This window comes from Homo sapiens, chromosome X (assembly GCF_000001405.40).
Source record: "Homo sapiens chromosome X, GRCh38.p14 Primary Assembly".
NCBI classification, from domain to species: Eukaryota; Metazoa; Chordata; class Mammalia; order Primates; family Hominidae; genus Homo; species Homo sapiens.
Window position 1 is genome coordinate 19045609 of NC_000023.11, and position 16252 is coordinate 19061860.

General features: G+C 44.0%; 1 protein-coding gene and 1 long non-coding RNA gene across 19 annotated transcripts in view; one reads left to right on the forward strand and one right to left on the reverse strand.

The window, feature by feature from the left end:
* The window catches only part of LOC101928415 (uncharacterized), a 69547-nt gene extending 58022 nt beyond the window's left edge, over positions 1 to 11525 (forward strand). For all 3 annotated transcript variants that reach the window (XR_001755805.2, XR_001755808.2, XR_007068405.1), the window contains 2 exons: positions 5198 to 5373; positions 6096 to 11525. This is a non-coding gene — a long non-coding RNA (uncharacterized LOC101928415). The remainder of the gene's footprint in view (positions 1 to 5197; positions 5374 to 6095) is intronic.
* ADGRG2 (adhesion G protein-coupled receptor G2) overlaps positions 1 to 16252 on the reverse strand; it is a 133650-nt gene that overhangs the window by 56302 nt on the left and 61096 nt on the right. The window lies entirely within an intron of this gene.

The following is a 16252-nucleotide window of genomic DNA, read 5'->3' on the forward strand; positions in this document are numbered from 1 at the left end:
TAGGGTTTTATTATTAATCTTCTTTAATCTCTCTCTCATCTGTCCCTTCTCCCCATGCTCACTGCCCCCTTCCATACCCAGGCCGTCACTGCCTCATACCCGGGTGTAAAATTAGAACCTTAGAACCTTCTAATTGGAAGGAATCCTAACATTCTCTGCATCCCATTTCTTCCCCCATACAGTAATCCATCCACCAATTGTACACCCACAGTCTCAATTCAGCCTCCAAACAAGTTTTATCTTGTCTACATAGTGGGAATCATGCTGGAGTTTTTTGTTATTATTATTCTTTTAGTGACAGGGTCTTGCTCTGTTGCCCAGGCTGGAGTGCAGTGGCACAATCATAGCTCACTGCAGCCTCCCACTCATGGGCTCAAGGGATCCTCCCACATCAGCCTCCTGAGTAGCTGGGACTATAGGCACATACCACTACACCTGGATATTTTTAAAAAATTTTTTCAGAAATGGGGGTTTCAAGCTCCTGGGCTCAAGTGATCCTCCTGCCTTAGCCTCCTGAGTAGCTGGGACTACAGAGGTGTGGCACCATGCCCAGCTCCAAGTTACTGAAAATTTGAATTACTCACCAACATTTAAAAATCAGGAAATTTCAAATAAAATTCCAATTTTTCACCTTGTTTTACAAAATTGTAAGTTTTGGGAGATGACCCCTTTATGTCGGCTCCCTGGCCCTCTAAAGCATGCCCTGGTTACAAAAGCTGATGGAGCTGGCTCTCTCCTCTTTATATCTTCAAGTATTCATTGACTACGCCCTTCTTTCACTTGGCATTTGGAAAGATGTCATTTAACTTTTCCACTGTGTGCCTTGTTTACCCAACTAGACGCTAAGCTGCTTGATGCTTTATTTATTACCTTCCAGGAATCTAGTCCAGTGTCTTGTTTGTGGTTGATGTCCTAAAATATTTTTGCAATGACTAATGAAATCCTTAAGAAATCTCCGTCAGTCAGAGATCAGTTGGGAACCCATGACAGGTAGTTCAAGAGCAGGAATGTAACACAGGGAAATGTTGCAAAGATGAAGAACTGGAGCAATCCAGAGGTGAGCAACAGCAGGAAGATTCTGGAAGAGCAAAGGGGGGAGGTAATATTACCAGATACCGATGAACAGAGCCACAAGGCAGGAGTTCAGGCCACGGGATGTTGGAAGGGGTCTGTCCAGTGAGACTGGAATCATGGAAGAGGCACAGCCCCCATTAGAGATGCCAGCCAAACCGAGAGAGGGGGAGAAATACCCTGACTTCCCCTTTCCTCTTGCACTCCAATCTCCTGTCACTGACACCCACTGGCCGAACCTAGCTGGAAGCCAGTTGGCAAGGAGACATGAAAGATATTGCAAGGGGTCAGGTCCCTGTGATACAGAGTAAGGGAAGGATGGGGAATGGATCTGAAAGTAACAAGGCAAAATGACTAATGCAGAGTCAACAGAGCAAAGACTCAAGAATACTTCTTGGATGACTATGACTCAGATTTCAAAGTTTGGAGGAGTAGTTATAGCTGCCGATCACAGCAGATAGATGCCTTAACAGGTCTTACAAATGTATGCTAAAATGTCCACCCAAATACATATCAAAAACAGCATTAAAAAGTCAGCCATTGTGAGCCCCCATTGCCTACAGTGGTGACCTCAATAACATACCTGTTAATGACTTTTCCTCTTTTCTTAATGCCTTCTCCCTTCTCTCTTTTCCTAATGCCTGCTCCTTCACTCCTGATTCCTGGGATCACCTCCCAAATAAACTACCTGCACCAAAGTTATGCAAGATCATGTCTGGGTGTTTCTGAAGTGTTCATTTTTCTCCCTGCTATTTGACACCGTGGTAGATATTAAGACTTCAAATGTGAGATGGTTGTCTTACACCTATGATTGTGGTACTACTATGAGTATTTACTTCCACCACATTCTTCCCCAAGTTGGATGGGAAAGAAAAAGGCTTAATCTTTTGGGAGTGGATCTAAAAAGATTACAACTAGCTCTCCTTGCATGAATATTTTCAACCCAACTGAAACTTGTAATCTGGTGGCAGTCCTCCTCTGGATTGAATTACTGTTCCATAGAGAGATAATTAAAAACAAGCCACCACGCCTAGGCACTCTTATATGGGAACCCCAAACAGAACAATATTTTTGTTGTTATTACACTGGCTCTTAAGGGCTTGGGATAACAGACACTCTTCCAGGAACGGCATTTTCCGAGTTTACTACATAACCCCCAAAACTGAATGAAAACATTTCTAATTTGGCATATCCAAAACATGTTTACTCGCGCTGGGACACTGCTCAATAAGTACTCTTACATAATGTATTTATTAAATGATTAATAATGACATCATTAAAAAAAACTTCGGCTCTTAGCTGATGGAACTTCCCAAAGTGCAAGCAATCCGCAGTTCTAGGTGGGCTTTGGCCAGAACGGGAAGAAGGTGAAATGTGTTCTTGAGCCCCCAGCCCCCAATTCTTGCTTTTCTCCTGCCTTCGCACAGTATCGCCCACCCATCCCCCTGGCTCTTGATCCCTCCAGAACTCATCCTGGTTCTCTCAGGGCTTTATGAACTGTCCCTTCCCCAAGGGTCCACGAGATGCATTTTGGAGCGTCCATAAATGCCCCGAAATAAAATGCAAATGTGTGTTCATATGCATTTTTTCCTGGGAAGATTAGAGCCCCCAAAGGGGGTCTATCTTTAATTAACAAGCACTTATACAGCATTACTATATGACCGGGCACTGCGTAAATATTAGCTCATTTAGCCCTCATAACAACCCTATGAGGTACGTTATCCCCATTTCACAGATAGGGAAATGGAGGAAAAGAGCAGTCAAGTAACTTGCCCAAGATTACATGTAAAAGGGCAGACTAGGATGTGAGGCAGGCTCTCCAGCTTCACTACACCAGGCCGCTTCTCATCTTGGGCTGTGGGCTGAAGAGAAGGAAGGGCCACTGACCTACTGGGTGTCCACCGTGCTCCACCAGGAGGGATGTGTACTTTAGGAAGAATGAGAGCCTTGAAATTAACTTTCTGACCAGTAGAGGATACTGGGGGATCATTCCCCGCCCTTCCCAGTGCCTCTGAAACTAGACACATGGCTAGCAATCTACGCTGCTGGTCCTGGCCCGTGCTGATAATGGAGCGTCATGGCTGTGCTTTTCATTTAGAATGCTAGCCATGATTTCTGTTCACTTCCGAAGTGATTGGTGTAACTTCCGAAGGCTGGTAGCTTCTAGAGCTATTTCAGTCTGACGACATGTAAATGCTGCTTAGCGCTTTGGGAGTGGGGAAAGCGGGAGGCCGACTCACCTTTATTGGACACTGATGACACTGGCCTTATACCTGTGCTCCTCACTCAATGGAATCGCCCCAACATTTCCATGAAACAGACAGCTCTCTACCCCAACCTTATCTTCTCCTGCCCTCCCCTCACTCAGCCATCCTGGCCTCCCTGCCGTTTCTCCAACACACCAAGCATATTCCCACCTCAGGGCCTTTGCCTTTGCTGTTCCACCTGCCTGGAACACTTTTCCCCCAGAAGGCCCCTTGGTTTGCTACAGAGCCTCCTACACATTTTACTGAAATGTCACCTTCTCCGAGAGGCTGTTCCAGACCAGTCTATTTCAAACTGCAACACTTTCTGCCTCTGCCTGATCCTTTTCATCTCTTTATGCACAGGCTCGTTGCCATCTGGCGAGTTAATATGTTTATCCATATGCGGACATCCACAGCCCTGGGAGTGGCTGTCTCCTTAATATTTTCTTCCCTGGGCCCCTGACTTGCCTCATCCTAGTCCTGGCCCTGTGTCATATATAAGCGTTTTTTGTGTTTTTTTTTTTTTTTTTTTGTTGTTGTTGTTTTGCTACCAAGAACCAATTTTCCACCCCAATGGGGATGATAGCGCCTCCACTGAGAATGCATGACCTAGGCAAGCTTCTCCAACCCGCAGCCCACAGGCCACATGTGGCCCAATACAAATTCATAAACTTTCTTGAAACACTATGAGATTTTTTTGTGATTTTTTTTTTTTTAGCTCATCAGCTATCATGTTAGTGTATTTTACGTGTGGCCCAAGACAATTCTTCTTATTCTAATGTGGCCCGGGGAAGCCAAAAGATTGGACACCCCTGCTGTAGGGTTATCTCTGCTTCCTCCAGAAAAGATAGAGTGTGAAGAAAGAACCCTCTCCTCCCCAACTCCACTAGTGTCTAGAGTGATTCTGCTGCTAGCCAGCTGACACTTTCCTTCTCATCAAAGCATCTGTCATGTATGGGTTAGCAAGAGTCGCTTGTGGGAGTTTTAAGTGCAGAAGTGCCTGGAAAGGTGGCAGGGGTGCGTGCACCAGTGGTTTGGCTGTGGCGAGCAGTTTTTCCAATTTCCCTTAGTTCACACCACTCTTTGCCAGTTCACAATTGAGCAGTGATCACTTGGCATCTTAGTTTAGGTTCTCTGGGTCGCAGGGCCTAAGATCAAGACTGGAGTGCAAGTACTTTCTTTGGGAGGTAATCCCAGGAGGCAGGGAGAAAGAGACAGGGAAGGATGGAAGCCAAGTTTGGGGTGTTTGTTGTGGACAGTGGGAGCTCAAGTCCAAAGAGACCTCTGAGAAGCATAGAGAATGCCTTCTAGAATTGTCTCTAGGAAGGGCTGGAGACTGGGGCATTTATCCAAGTCTCCCTCCCCAACAGTTGACATTTGCTCCTGGGCCATTACTTCCTCTGCACTCCTGGGCTCTTCCTGTGACAGCTGAGCAGGCTGCCAGGGCTCGGGGGAAACCCCAGAGGCAGACAGAAGTCTGCGAGCATAGAACTGTCCACCTCTTCTGTGGCTGGTCTCATAGATGGCTCAAAAGGATGTCACAGGGGCACGAAAAGCAATGGCTACACTTGGGTTCCTTTGATTGACTCCTGTACACACTTAGATGGACACAATGGCGGAGCTCACCGATTCTCAACCCTGGCTGCACATTAATATCACCCCCAGGGAAATTACTGATGTAGTCAGTCGTGGTGGCTAGCACCTCAAATCCCAGCTACTCAGGAGGCTTAGGTAGGAGGATCACTTGAGGCCAGGAGTTTGAGACCAGCCTGGGCAACGCAGCAAGAACCCATCTCTAAAAAAATTTTTTTTAAATTAAATGACTGATGTCCAGATCCCACCCCTGATCATTTCAACCTGGGCATCTGCATTTTTGACAGCTCCTCTAGCAATTCCGATGTGAAAAGAAGATGGATGGAGAAGCACTGATTCAGCCATGGCTGACATGTCGGAGTTGGAATGGACAGTGCCCGGACCTCACAGTCTCAGAGAACTGGAGAAGAGTAAAGCTGAAGAGGGCATCATCTGGTTACAAATGACAAGTCCAGGGCTCCAGGTGAGTGCTTTGTGTAAGAGGAGACTGCTGCGTGGTGATACGATTAAAACTCATGTCCCCCACCTCCTGGTTCCATGTCGCACATGGTGCCCATGACACTCTTTTTGTTTTGAGACAGAGTCTCGCTCTTTCGCCCAGGCCGGACTGCAGTGGCGCGATCTCGGCTCACTGCAAGCTCCGCCTTCCTGGTTCACACCATTCTCCTGCCTCGGCCTCCTGAATAGCTGGGACTACAGGCACCCACCACCACGCCCGGCTAATTTTTTGTATTTTTAGTAGAGACAGGGTTTCACCGTGTTAGCCAGGATGGTCTCGATCTCCTGACCTCGTGATCAGCCCGCCTCGGCCTTCCAAAGTGCTGGGATTATAGGTGTGAGCCACCGCGCCCGGCCCCATGACACTCTGTAAACCTCAGAAATCACTTCCCTATGGGTTCCAAGTCCAAAGCCTTAAGGTAGAAGCTGAAAACTCCTGGTGGCAGACTGCATTTTCCATGAATGGCCACAGCAATATTTCTCATCTCACAAGTTCTTCCAGAACTTTGCCACTCTTCTGTCAAGAGGTAGAACCTATGTCCCTTTCTCTTGATCCTGGGTGGGCTTTGACTAAGAGAATATGGTGCAAGTAACACTATGGGCTTCAGAGGATAGGTGACAAAAGGCAACAGAGCTTCTGCCTGCTTGCTCTCACTCTCTCTCTTTCTCCCTCTCTCTTATCCTTAGAACTCAGGCCATGTAGAGAGGCCACATGGGAACTGAGGTTCCTAGTCCTCAGCTTCCACTGAGCTCCCAGCCAACAGCCAGCAATAACTTGCCAGATGTGTGCACAGGCCATCCTGGAAGCAGAGGATCCAGCCCTCAGCCAAGATGCCCCAGTTGATTCCATGTGAACTAGGAATGAGCCCTCCTGCTGAGCTCTGCCCAAATTACAGATCTGTGAGCAAACTAAATGACAGTTGTATTAAGCTACACAGAAATAGATAACTGGAATACCACCCATGTCTTTCTTTCCAAACTTAGTTAACTGAGTCTGAGCTAAAGAGAATTCACACTGTATATCTTATATTGAATACCCACTATATCTGGGGCATGATTGCTAATAATCCTCACAATAGCCCTACAATAGGAAACGATCATCCTCATTTCACAGATGGAGAGTTTAATGGTAAGCCTGAACTCAGACTCAGACTTGTTTGACTTGAGAGCCCATACCTCTTTCACTAAGCCATACCATCTCCATTCACTCTATGCTGTCTGGCCACCTGAGAGGCTGTCTGTAAGTCTATCTCCTTATTAACCCATCATTCCTGCTACTTCCATGATAATCGGCAAGGCTGAATGATAGCTCTCAGTTCTATGGGGTCTTTCCAGGAGAAGGGCCAAAGAGGAGTGGTTGATCACAAAGTCATCGGCACAAAAAGATGGTGGCCAAGCTACAGTCCTGCATGGCACATGAGCCAGATGATCAAGTAATGAAAGCTATGCTAAGAAATGTGGGCTTTATCTTGTGGAGAAGGAGATGCAGTAGAGGCTTTTTAAGGTACATTTCAGAACAATTATTATTTTTATATTTATTATATATTATTTATATATATAAAACCACAAATTATATGCTACATATATACATATGTTTTTATGTCTATATATAAACACATATATACGTTTATATATATATACATATGTATATACAACACATAAAATTTACCATCTTAACCTTTTTTTTTTCCAAGATGGAGTCTCATTCTGTTGCCCTGGCTGGAGTGCAGTGACACGATCTCGGCTCACTGCAACCTACACCTCCCAGGTTCAAACAATTCTCATGCCTCAGCCTCCCTAGTAGCTGGGATTACAGGCGCCCACCACCATGCTCAGCTCAGCTAATTTTTGTATTTTTAGTAGAGACAGGGTTTCACCATATTGGCCAGGCTAGTTTCGAACTCCTGACCTCAGGTGATCCGCTTGCCTCGGCCTCCCAAAGTGCTGGGATTACAGGCATGAGCCACTGCACCCGGCCTCATCTTAACCATTTTTAAGTGTACAGTTTGGTTGCATTAAGTATGTCCACATGTTTATGCAACCATCACCACCTTCTCTTTTTAGAACTTCTGCATCTTCCCAAACCAAAACCCCATACCTATTAAACAATAACTCCCCATTCTCCCTTCCCCCTTGCCCCTGTTCCTGACACAGAACAATATTTTTTGTATAACTATGAAATAAATGAAGGAAATCTGAAGTGGGAAGGCCAGAGAGTAAGCTACAGGGGTACATTGGGCAAGACACGATGAGGACTTGAACCCATGCTTGGGAAGCTGGCATGAAAAGAGAGGTTCAACAGATCCTACTAAGGTAAAAGTGAGAGGATTTTGCGGGGCGGAGGGGGGGTCACTGGGATGTGGGAGTGAGGAAGAAACAGGAATCGGCCTGCCAGCAGTTAATCTATCGAACTCCCATAGTCCACGTGACCCTGTCCTGCACCCCTAAAGAAGGCAGTGTGGCAGGTAGGTTAAGAGCCTAGACTCCAAAGACCAGGACGGCCTAGGTCCAAATCCTGGCTCTGCCATTTGCTAACTATGTAACTTTGACCACTTACTTAACCCATCTGCACTTCAGTTTCCCAGGTGAAAAACAGGCACGAAGATAAGTGTAACAGGACATACTTCATAGGTACTACTGTTAAAGTATTGAGAAGAATACACAGTAAATACTGCTCAAGTCAGTAGTTAATACAATGACTGTATTAGTCCGTTTTCACGCTCTGATAAAGACATACCCAAGACTGGGTAATTTATAAAGGAAAGAGGTTTAATTTACTCACATTTCCACATGGCTGGGGAGGCCTCACAATCATGGTGGAAGAGGAAGGAAGAGCAAAGGGATGTCTTATATGGCAGCGGGCAAAAGAGAGAGCCAAGTGAAAGGGGGAAATCTCTTATAAAAACATCAGATCTCATGAAACTTATTTGCTACCACAAGAACAGTATGGGGGAAACCGCTCCCGTTATTCAATTATCTCCCACCGGGTCCCTCCTACAACATGTAAGAATTATGGGAGCTGCAATTCAAGATGAGATTTGGGTGGGAATACAGCCAAACCATATCAAGGATGCGCTCTCTATTCTTCACTTTCCCAGTGACTTATCTAAAAATGATTTCTCCCTTCTACGTGCAAGACTTCCACTCCAGTTTCTTTTCTCCTTATATTATTTGCTTCCAGTTTCTAAAATATCCTTGGGATCACTTTGAGAACATGGGAGGAGAGAAGCAGAGGGCTTCAGGAAATCTGATGACCATAACTTACGTTTTATAAGTTCTTGTACAAAGTCAAGAACAGGTGAAATTTCCAGGAAGAATGTAGAAGACACAGTTAATCATGATGTTATTGGGTTGCCCTTAAGTGGGATGCATGGTCTCCCTAGGGGTCACAGGCTGGCTTCTAAAAAGTAACTAATTTTTTTCTGATTACAATCATAATGTGGGTTTATGTGGGAAGAATTCTAAGCCACAGAAAAATATAAGGAAAAACTTGAAAAGTACTCCTAATCTTACCACTCAAAGATAACGTTAGCTGGCTGCAAGGATCTTCAGAATTCTCTAGGCCAGTTGCAGAACTGAAACAACAAAACAGAGCCTTGGGAGATGTTAGCTTCATGTTTTATTTAGAAGTATTAGCAGATAGAAAATTGAGCTCATTAGCATGCTAGCATGTGTGGTGGCTCCATAATGCATCATCTTCGTTAGACCAACTACATTTCCCAAAATTCCCTTTCTTGCATGTTTCTAATTAACGTGGGACAGAAGAGAGTTTCCTGTGGGAGATCTGGGCAGATGTGGGCAGCAGCCATGTTGTAGCTCACATAGGTTGGCAATGATCAGTTGCCTCATCTTATTAGGACCAGGGAGGTGCGGGGCCTGTAACTGCTCCACCTTCTCCTGGGTTTTCCTTTTCAGCTTCTTCGGCTCCTTGGCCATGTGTGTACTTTATGATGAAGCGCCCAGCTTCTGCAGGATATCCATACTGCCAAGGTCAAAAGCAACAATAAGCGACGTGGGGCTCAGTCTGTTCTCGTGGGCTACAATGCATGCTTCTGGTTTCCAGGTTGTTCTTGCTCTCCCTTATTTTACATTTATCCTTCCTTCCCAACTGCCTGTCCGATAGATGTCGAGTCCCAACATCAGATGTGAAGATGAGAGCTTTATAGAGACTGCTTAACCAGCTCCCACAGTTGTATTAGGACAAATCCCTGTAGCAAATCCCTTTGTGTGTGTGTGTGTGTGTGTGTGTGTGTGTATGTGTGTGTGTGTGCGCGCGCACGCGCGTGCACGCACCTTAGTGGTTCTCCTGTGATTGAATCCTGACTTACACAGTTTGAGATAGAAACCTTCTGAAGCAATTAGATTAAATGGTCTATAACTGTGCTGTCCAACATGGTAGCCATTAGCTACATGTGGCTATTTAAATTTAAATTAATTAAAGTTAAACATAATTAGAATTTAGTACCCCAGTCAAGTTTCAAGTGCTCAATACTGTGGTCACATGTGGCTGGTGGCCACTGTTTTGGGCAGCACAGATATAGAGCACTTCCGTTATTGCAAAAAAATGTTCTATGAGCACTGGTCTATAGTGATAATTACTAGTATTTACTGAGTTCTCACCATGTGTCAGATGCAGATTCCAAGTTTGCTCTGGAGAGCACGATGCGGCAGGCAAACGGGGAAAGAGAGAGAGTGATGGGAATCAGGTGGGAGATTTTTTTTTTTTTTTTTGAGATGGAGTCTCTCTCACTCTGTCACCCAGGCTGGAGTGCAGTGGCACAATATCGGATCACTGCAACCTCCGCCTCCCAGGTTCAAGTGATTCTCCTGCCTCAGTCTCCCAAGTAGCCAGGATTACAGACTTGTACCACCACGCCTGGCTAAGTTTTGTATTTTTAGTAGAGACAGGGTTTCACCATGTTGGCCAGGCTGGTCTCGAACCCCTGACCTCAGGTGATCCACCCTCCTTGACCTTCCAAAGTGCTGAGATTACAGGTGTGAGCCATTGCACCTGGCCAGGTGGGAGATTTTTAATGACCAGGCCTGGAGGTGGCACACATCACTTATACCCACATCCATTGGCCAGCACTCAGTTACACGGCCACTTCTAACTACAAGGGAGGTTGGGAAATGTAGCCTAGCTGTGTGCTGAGGAAGAAAAAGTAAAAGCTTTGGTGCCAGCCAGTCTCTGCCACATCAGATTTAATTTGAGCGCTGTGAAGTAATTAATGCCCATTAAACTAAGGGTGGGACAAGATTAATGCTAAAATCACTCTCCCCAGCCACCATTTTCTCTCTTGTTCTTTGTCATGATATTGACAAGGTCAAAAGTCAGGCAGTCAGCATGAACCCGAGGAGGAGAAGTCCTTGCCACTTTGAGGCTGAATATGAACAGCCCCTTCTTTATGACTCACCCTATCAGCTTTGCTCCTAGCGAATGTTCATATCGTGGTTCTCCGGGACCCTTGAAAGTGGGACTCCTATGTGAGGAACTAGTTCTATAAACAACTACATGCTAGTAAAAAACCATTAAGAGGGTTGGAATTAGGCATAGTCCTGCTGCATAGAAATCCTACTTAGTTGGAAAAATTGTATTTTTAAGTTGCCTCTGTTTTGAAGCCACGTTAACCCTTAACCTTCAGAAAATCCTTAGCCAGCCTTTATACATTGGTAGCTCCTGTTCTAATAATGTCTTCTCCTCCTATTTTCTTTGGCTTGTCATGAGCTTTGAAAGTTTGATCTGAGATCCCTCACTTTTAATAATCTGTAACTCTGATTTGGTAATCTCCTACATATGAATAAAATGTCTGTGTTCATTTATTTCTAATGAATAAATGAACATGCCTGCTGAGCCAAGCCTTAAATGTGATTAAGGAGACTGACTTGGGTTCAGATCCTGGCTCTGCCTTGAGTAAGTTTCTAACATTCCTCTGCTTGTATTTCCTTATCTGTAAAATGGGAGTGATTTCTTTGAATGAAATTATATTACATTTATCAAGCATTTTATCACAGTTTCAACAATAAGGTGTAATTATTATTAATTCAGACTATATGATTCTGTGCCCTTGGATAAAGTTTACCATTATATAATAAACTACTTTTCTCACTTAATGCAAACAATGTGGTATCAGTAATTTGTAGAGGGCATTTTAAAAAATCATGAAGATGGTTTCTTCCAGGATTTACATGCATGAGATTTCCATTCTGACTATAAAACATTCTTATTTATTCACTAACACTAGGTTAGTGAGAATGTCTGTTAGAACACTGTGCTCATCTAATTCAAGTTTCCATAGTTTAGGATCATCATAGGAAGGCACCTCCTACAAAGATCATGGGGTTCCATCCCTTCGTATTACACATCAGGAAACTGAAGTTCATAGAAATCCACTTCAGAGGTAAAGGAGACTTGAAGATGACCTAGTGCAATACTGTACGTTTTGCAAAGGTAGTCATTTAGACGGTACTTTCATCATTTCAAAAATCGCTTATTTATCCACAATAGGCTGCACACACAAAAATTAGAGTGTGAGGCTGAGGCTGGGTGCGATGACTCACGCCTGTAATCCCAGTGCTTTGGGAGGCCGAGGCAGGTGCCCAGGAGTTTGAGCCCAGGGGTTTGAGACCAGCCTGGGCAACATGAAGAGACTTCATCGCTACTAAACATGTTAAAATTAGCTGGGAGTGGTGGTGCATGCCTATAGTCCAAGCTACTTGGGAGGCTGAGGTGGGAGGTGCGCTTGAGCCCAGGTGTTAGAGACTGCAGTGAGCTATGATTGCACCATTGCATTCCAGCCTGGTGACAGAGCAAGACCCTGTCTCTAAAAAATAAAAATAAAATAAAAATAGAGTATAATGTTTGTACCGTTTGGGATTATATCAATACTGGTTTTCTACTGCTGATCACAAACACTGGATACTGTCATATATGTTTTTACTCAACACCAAAAATGAGAACAATCTTACTTAAATAAATTGTGCAAAAGCATCTTTTAGGGCTTGGAGTTCACTGGAAGAAAAGAATTACAAAATAGGTCATGGGTGGGGAAAATACCAGATACCAAAATAGTCCAACCCCTTCAGTCCACAAGTGAGGAAACACAAGCTCAGAAATGTGAAGTCATTTGCCAAAGTTTATTCTTTTAATCCCATTTTTGAAGGCCTACTGTGTGCCAGGCACGGGGGTTATAGCAGGGAATAAAACAAAGTCCCTGGCCTCAAAGAGAGTTTACATTCTAGTCATATTATGCAACTCACTTCAAAGTTTTAAAACTCTACTTTGAAAACATCCTGTAACTGAAAACTTCTCACTAATTCAAACCCATCTCCTTCTGCTTGTGTACACCAAAACCCAGAATTGGTTAGACTTCACTGTGAATCCCAATCTGTGTAATATCAAATCATATTTCAAGTTAGGAGCAAGGCAAAAATGTCTACATAATTGAAAGACAACAGAGCTATGTGTTCAATTCCTGTTCATTCAATTAATCAGATAATTATAAGCAATTCTAATTTACACACTAAAGCAAAATTACTGCCATTTTATATCTTTGTTTATCTCTTCTTCAAATTAAAAAACTCTATGCTGTACTAAATACTATAGCAACATTAGAGTAACTTTTACTTTATGCTCTGTTCACTTCTAAAAGAAAAGTAACAAAAGGGTATAGGTCACACTGGACACGGATGTTAAAGACTAACACACATCACATCACAAACATCATTGCAAAAGTATCTCTAACTTACCTTGATGTTTTTTACAGCCCTGTGATCTTGTAAATGTGAGGCCTCTTGGCAAGATCAATGTGTTTCTTGTTATTTCTTGAACTAAGGAATGCTATTAAGGTGCATTTCAACAGCGTGTTCTCTTGGAATATCAACTTAAACCCTAATAGGTTAAATCAGCAGAACTGTTGCTTTTATGCCTTAGATCACTCTTTATCTTTATACAGTGCTTTGGGGATATAAATTCATCCCAGGATGAACAAATCATGCAAAGTTGTGTAAAAACCATTTTCAAGCCAGGCACGGTGGCATGCACCTGTAATCCCAGCTACTCGGGAGGTCGAGATGGGAGGATGGCTTGAGCCCAGGAGTTCGAGGCTGCAGTGAGCCATGATTGTTGCGCCTGTGAATAGGCACCGCATTCCAGCCTGGGCAACACAGTGAGACCCAGGCTCTAAAACAACAACAGCAACAACAAGAAAACCATTTTTAATGCTTCAGGACTAAATATTGGGGAAGTGGTTAAGAACACGAGTTCTAGAATCTCACCACCTCCACTTTCCAGCTGTGTGAATTTGGAAATTACCCAAACTGTCCAAGCCAAAAATAAGCACTTTCTGGATCTTGGTACTGTTTCTTTCTGGGTAACCTAGAAAGTCACTCCATTGCTTTGAGCTTCAGTTTTCTCTTCAGCAAAGTGAGGATAACACAAACTTTTCTACTAACCTCAAGGGGACACCGTGAGATGATGTATGCGAAGGTGCTTCGTCAACCGCAAAGACCTACAGGAGTGTCCAGTTGTGTTGCTGCTGCTGTTGTTAATCTTTAGTACCAGTACTATGTATGAAGTAGTACTAAAGAATCTGTCTTTAGTACCAGTACTATGTAGTAGTACTAAAGAATCTGTCTTTAGTACCAGTACTATGTAGTAGTACTAAAGAATCTGTCTTTAGTACCAGTACTATGTAGTAGTGCTAAAGAATCTGTCTTTAGTACCAGTACTATGTAGTAGTACTAAAGAATCTGTCTTTAGTACCAGTACTATGTAGTAGTACTAAAGAATCTGTCTTAGTATACACAGTACTGGTACTAAAGGCACTATGAAGAAGGCCAGGCATGGTGGCTCATGCCTGTAATCCCAGCACTTTGGGAGGCCGAGGTAGGTGGACCACCTGAGGTCAAGAGTTTGAGACCAGCCTGGCCAACGTGGCAAAACCCCGTCTCTACTAAAAATTCAAAAATTAGCCAGGCGTGGTGCCGCGAGCCTGTAATCCCAGCTACTCGGGAGGCTGAGGTGGGAGAATTGCTTGAAGCCGGGAGGCGGAGGTTGCAGTGATCCGAGATCGCGCCACTGCACTCCAGCCTGGACAACACAGCGAGACTCTGTCTCAGAAAAATAAATAAATAAATAAATAAGATACTATGAAGAGACACTGGGATTCTTCAATGAAGAGCAAGGCAAGGACAGCAACGATAACTTGGGGGATTTGCCAGTCGGCAAGAGCCACTTCTAGAGCTTTTATCCATTTTGAAATCAAGAGATTACTGGCTTTGTTATAACTTTAAAAGCCTTTGAAATTGCCTCACATAATAAATGTAGTTCGAAAAAATGTGACTTATAAATTGTTTCCAATTTCACATTAGGACTTTGAACAGGAGAACAGCCTTAAAATGGGATTGCAGAGGTGAGTGGTTCTCGGTTCTGCTAGCATCGCTTGGGGTATTTTGAAGAACCCCAATATCCAGGCTGTGCCCCCAGACCAATAATGTCAGAATCTCTGGGGGTAGGAGGCAGGTATTCTTTTTTTTTTTTTTTTTTATCTTTGAGATGGAGTCTTGCTCTGTTGCCCAGACTGGAGTGCAGTGGTGCAATCTCAGCTCACTGCAACCTCTGCTCCCAGGTTCAAGCAATTCTCCTGCCTCAGGCTCCTGAATAGCTAGGATTACAGGTGCCCACCACCACACTCGGCTAATTTTTGTATTTTTAGTAGAGACAAGGTTTCACCATGTTGGCCAGGCTGGTCTCAAACTCCTGACCTCAAATGATCCACGTGGCTCGGCCTCCCAAAGTGCTGGGTTTACAGGTGTAAGCCACCACACCCGGCCGAGGCAGGTGTTCTTAAATTCCCCCAGGTGATTCCAATGTGCACCCAAATGTGAGAACCTGGCATAAATAATCAGCAGCTCAGACATCACCCAAGGACTTCCAGAATGACATAATGTTCGAGGATCCCTGGTATTCCAGGACAATGAATGAAGAATCTGAAGATGGTCCCTACTGGCTGATTGAACTCACAGAATGTCAGACTGTGAAGGAATCTTAACGGGGAATCAGTTGAGCTCCTTCCTCATATGGAGGAGGGGAAATCCATTCTTCAAGGGTAATCCTAGCCAAGGTACAGCCACCTCACTGAAGTCTATACAGAAGTTTGGAGTAGTCTACACTGTATCAGAACTGACTGGGTTCGGATGAGCATAGTACTGCTGATGTAAGCTGAGGGGGGGCCCACTTTTTGGAATATCTCTAGGCTTTAGACTAGGGTCACAAATCGAAACCAATTAGACAACCACAGTTTACTGAGTACTTACTATGTGCTAGAAAATATGGAGGCTACAAAGAGAGAAAAGATGTCACCATTACCCTCTAGGACCTGAATGATGTCTCTACATACCTGAAAAGATAAAACCTGGAGGAGGATCAGAGTTCAAGATATGATGATGGCCTCCCACAATTCCTAATGGAGTGCCCTGACACATCATTCTGTGTTCAATATGTATTCATTTTAAAGCAAGTTTAAAATTTATAGATACAATTTAGATGTAGAAACAATAGCACCAAAACACACCAAAAATTCCTGAGCTGCCTTTGATATCTAGGGTGGCTCCCTTTTGTTTCAGAGCCTCCACTCCAGAAATATAGGAAAGAGATCCTTAAGTCTGATGATTTAAGGTAGCTTTGTCTCTTTTGCTCTAAAATGGTCTCTAGTTAACCCAATGACTTGTGAATAAATGCACAATCTTTGTCCACCCTCCTTTTCTTTCTGGTAGTCAAGATGGCGCCTGGGCTGAGAATGGCGTGCTAGGGCCTTTCTGGCAGCAGGGAGAAGGGGCCTGGATCT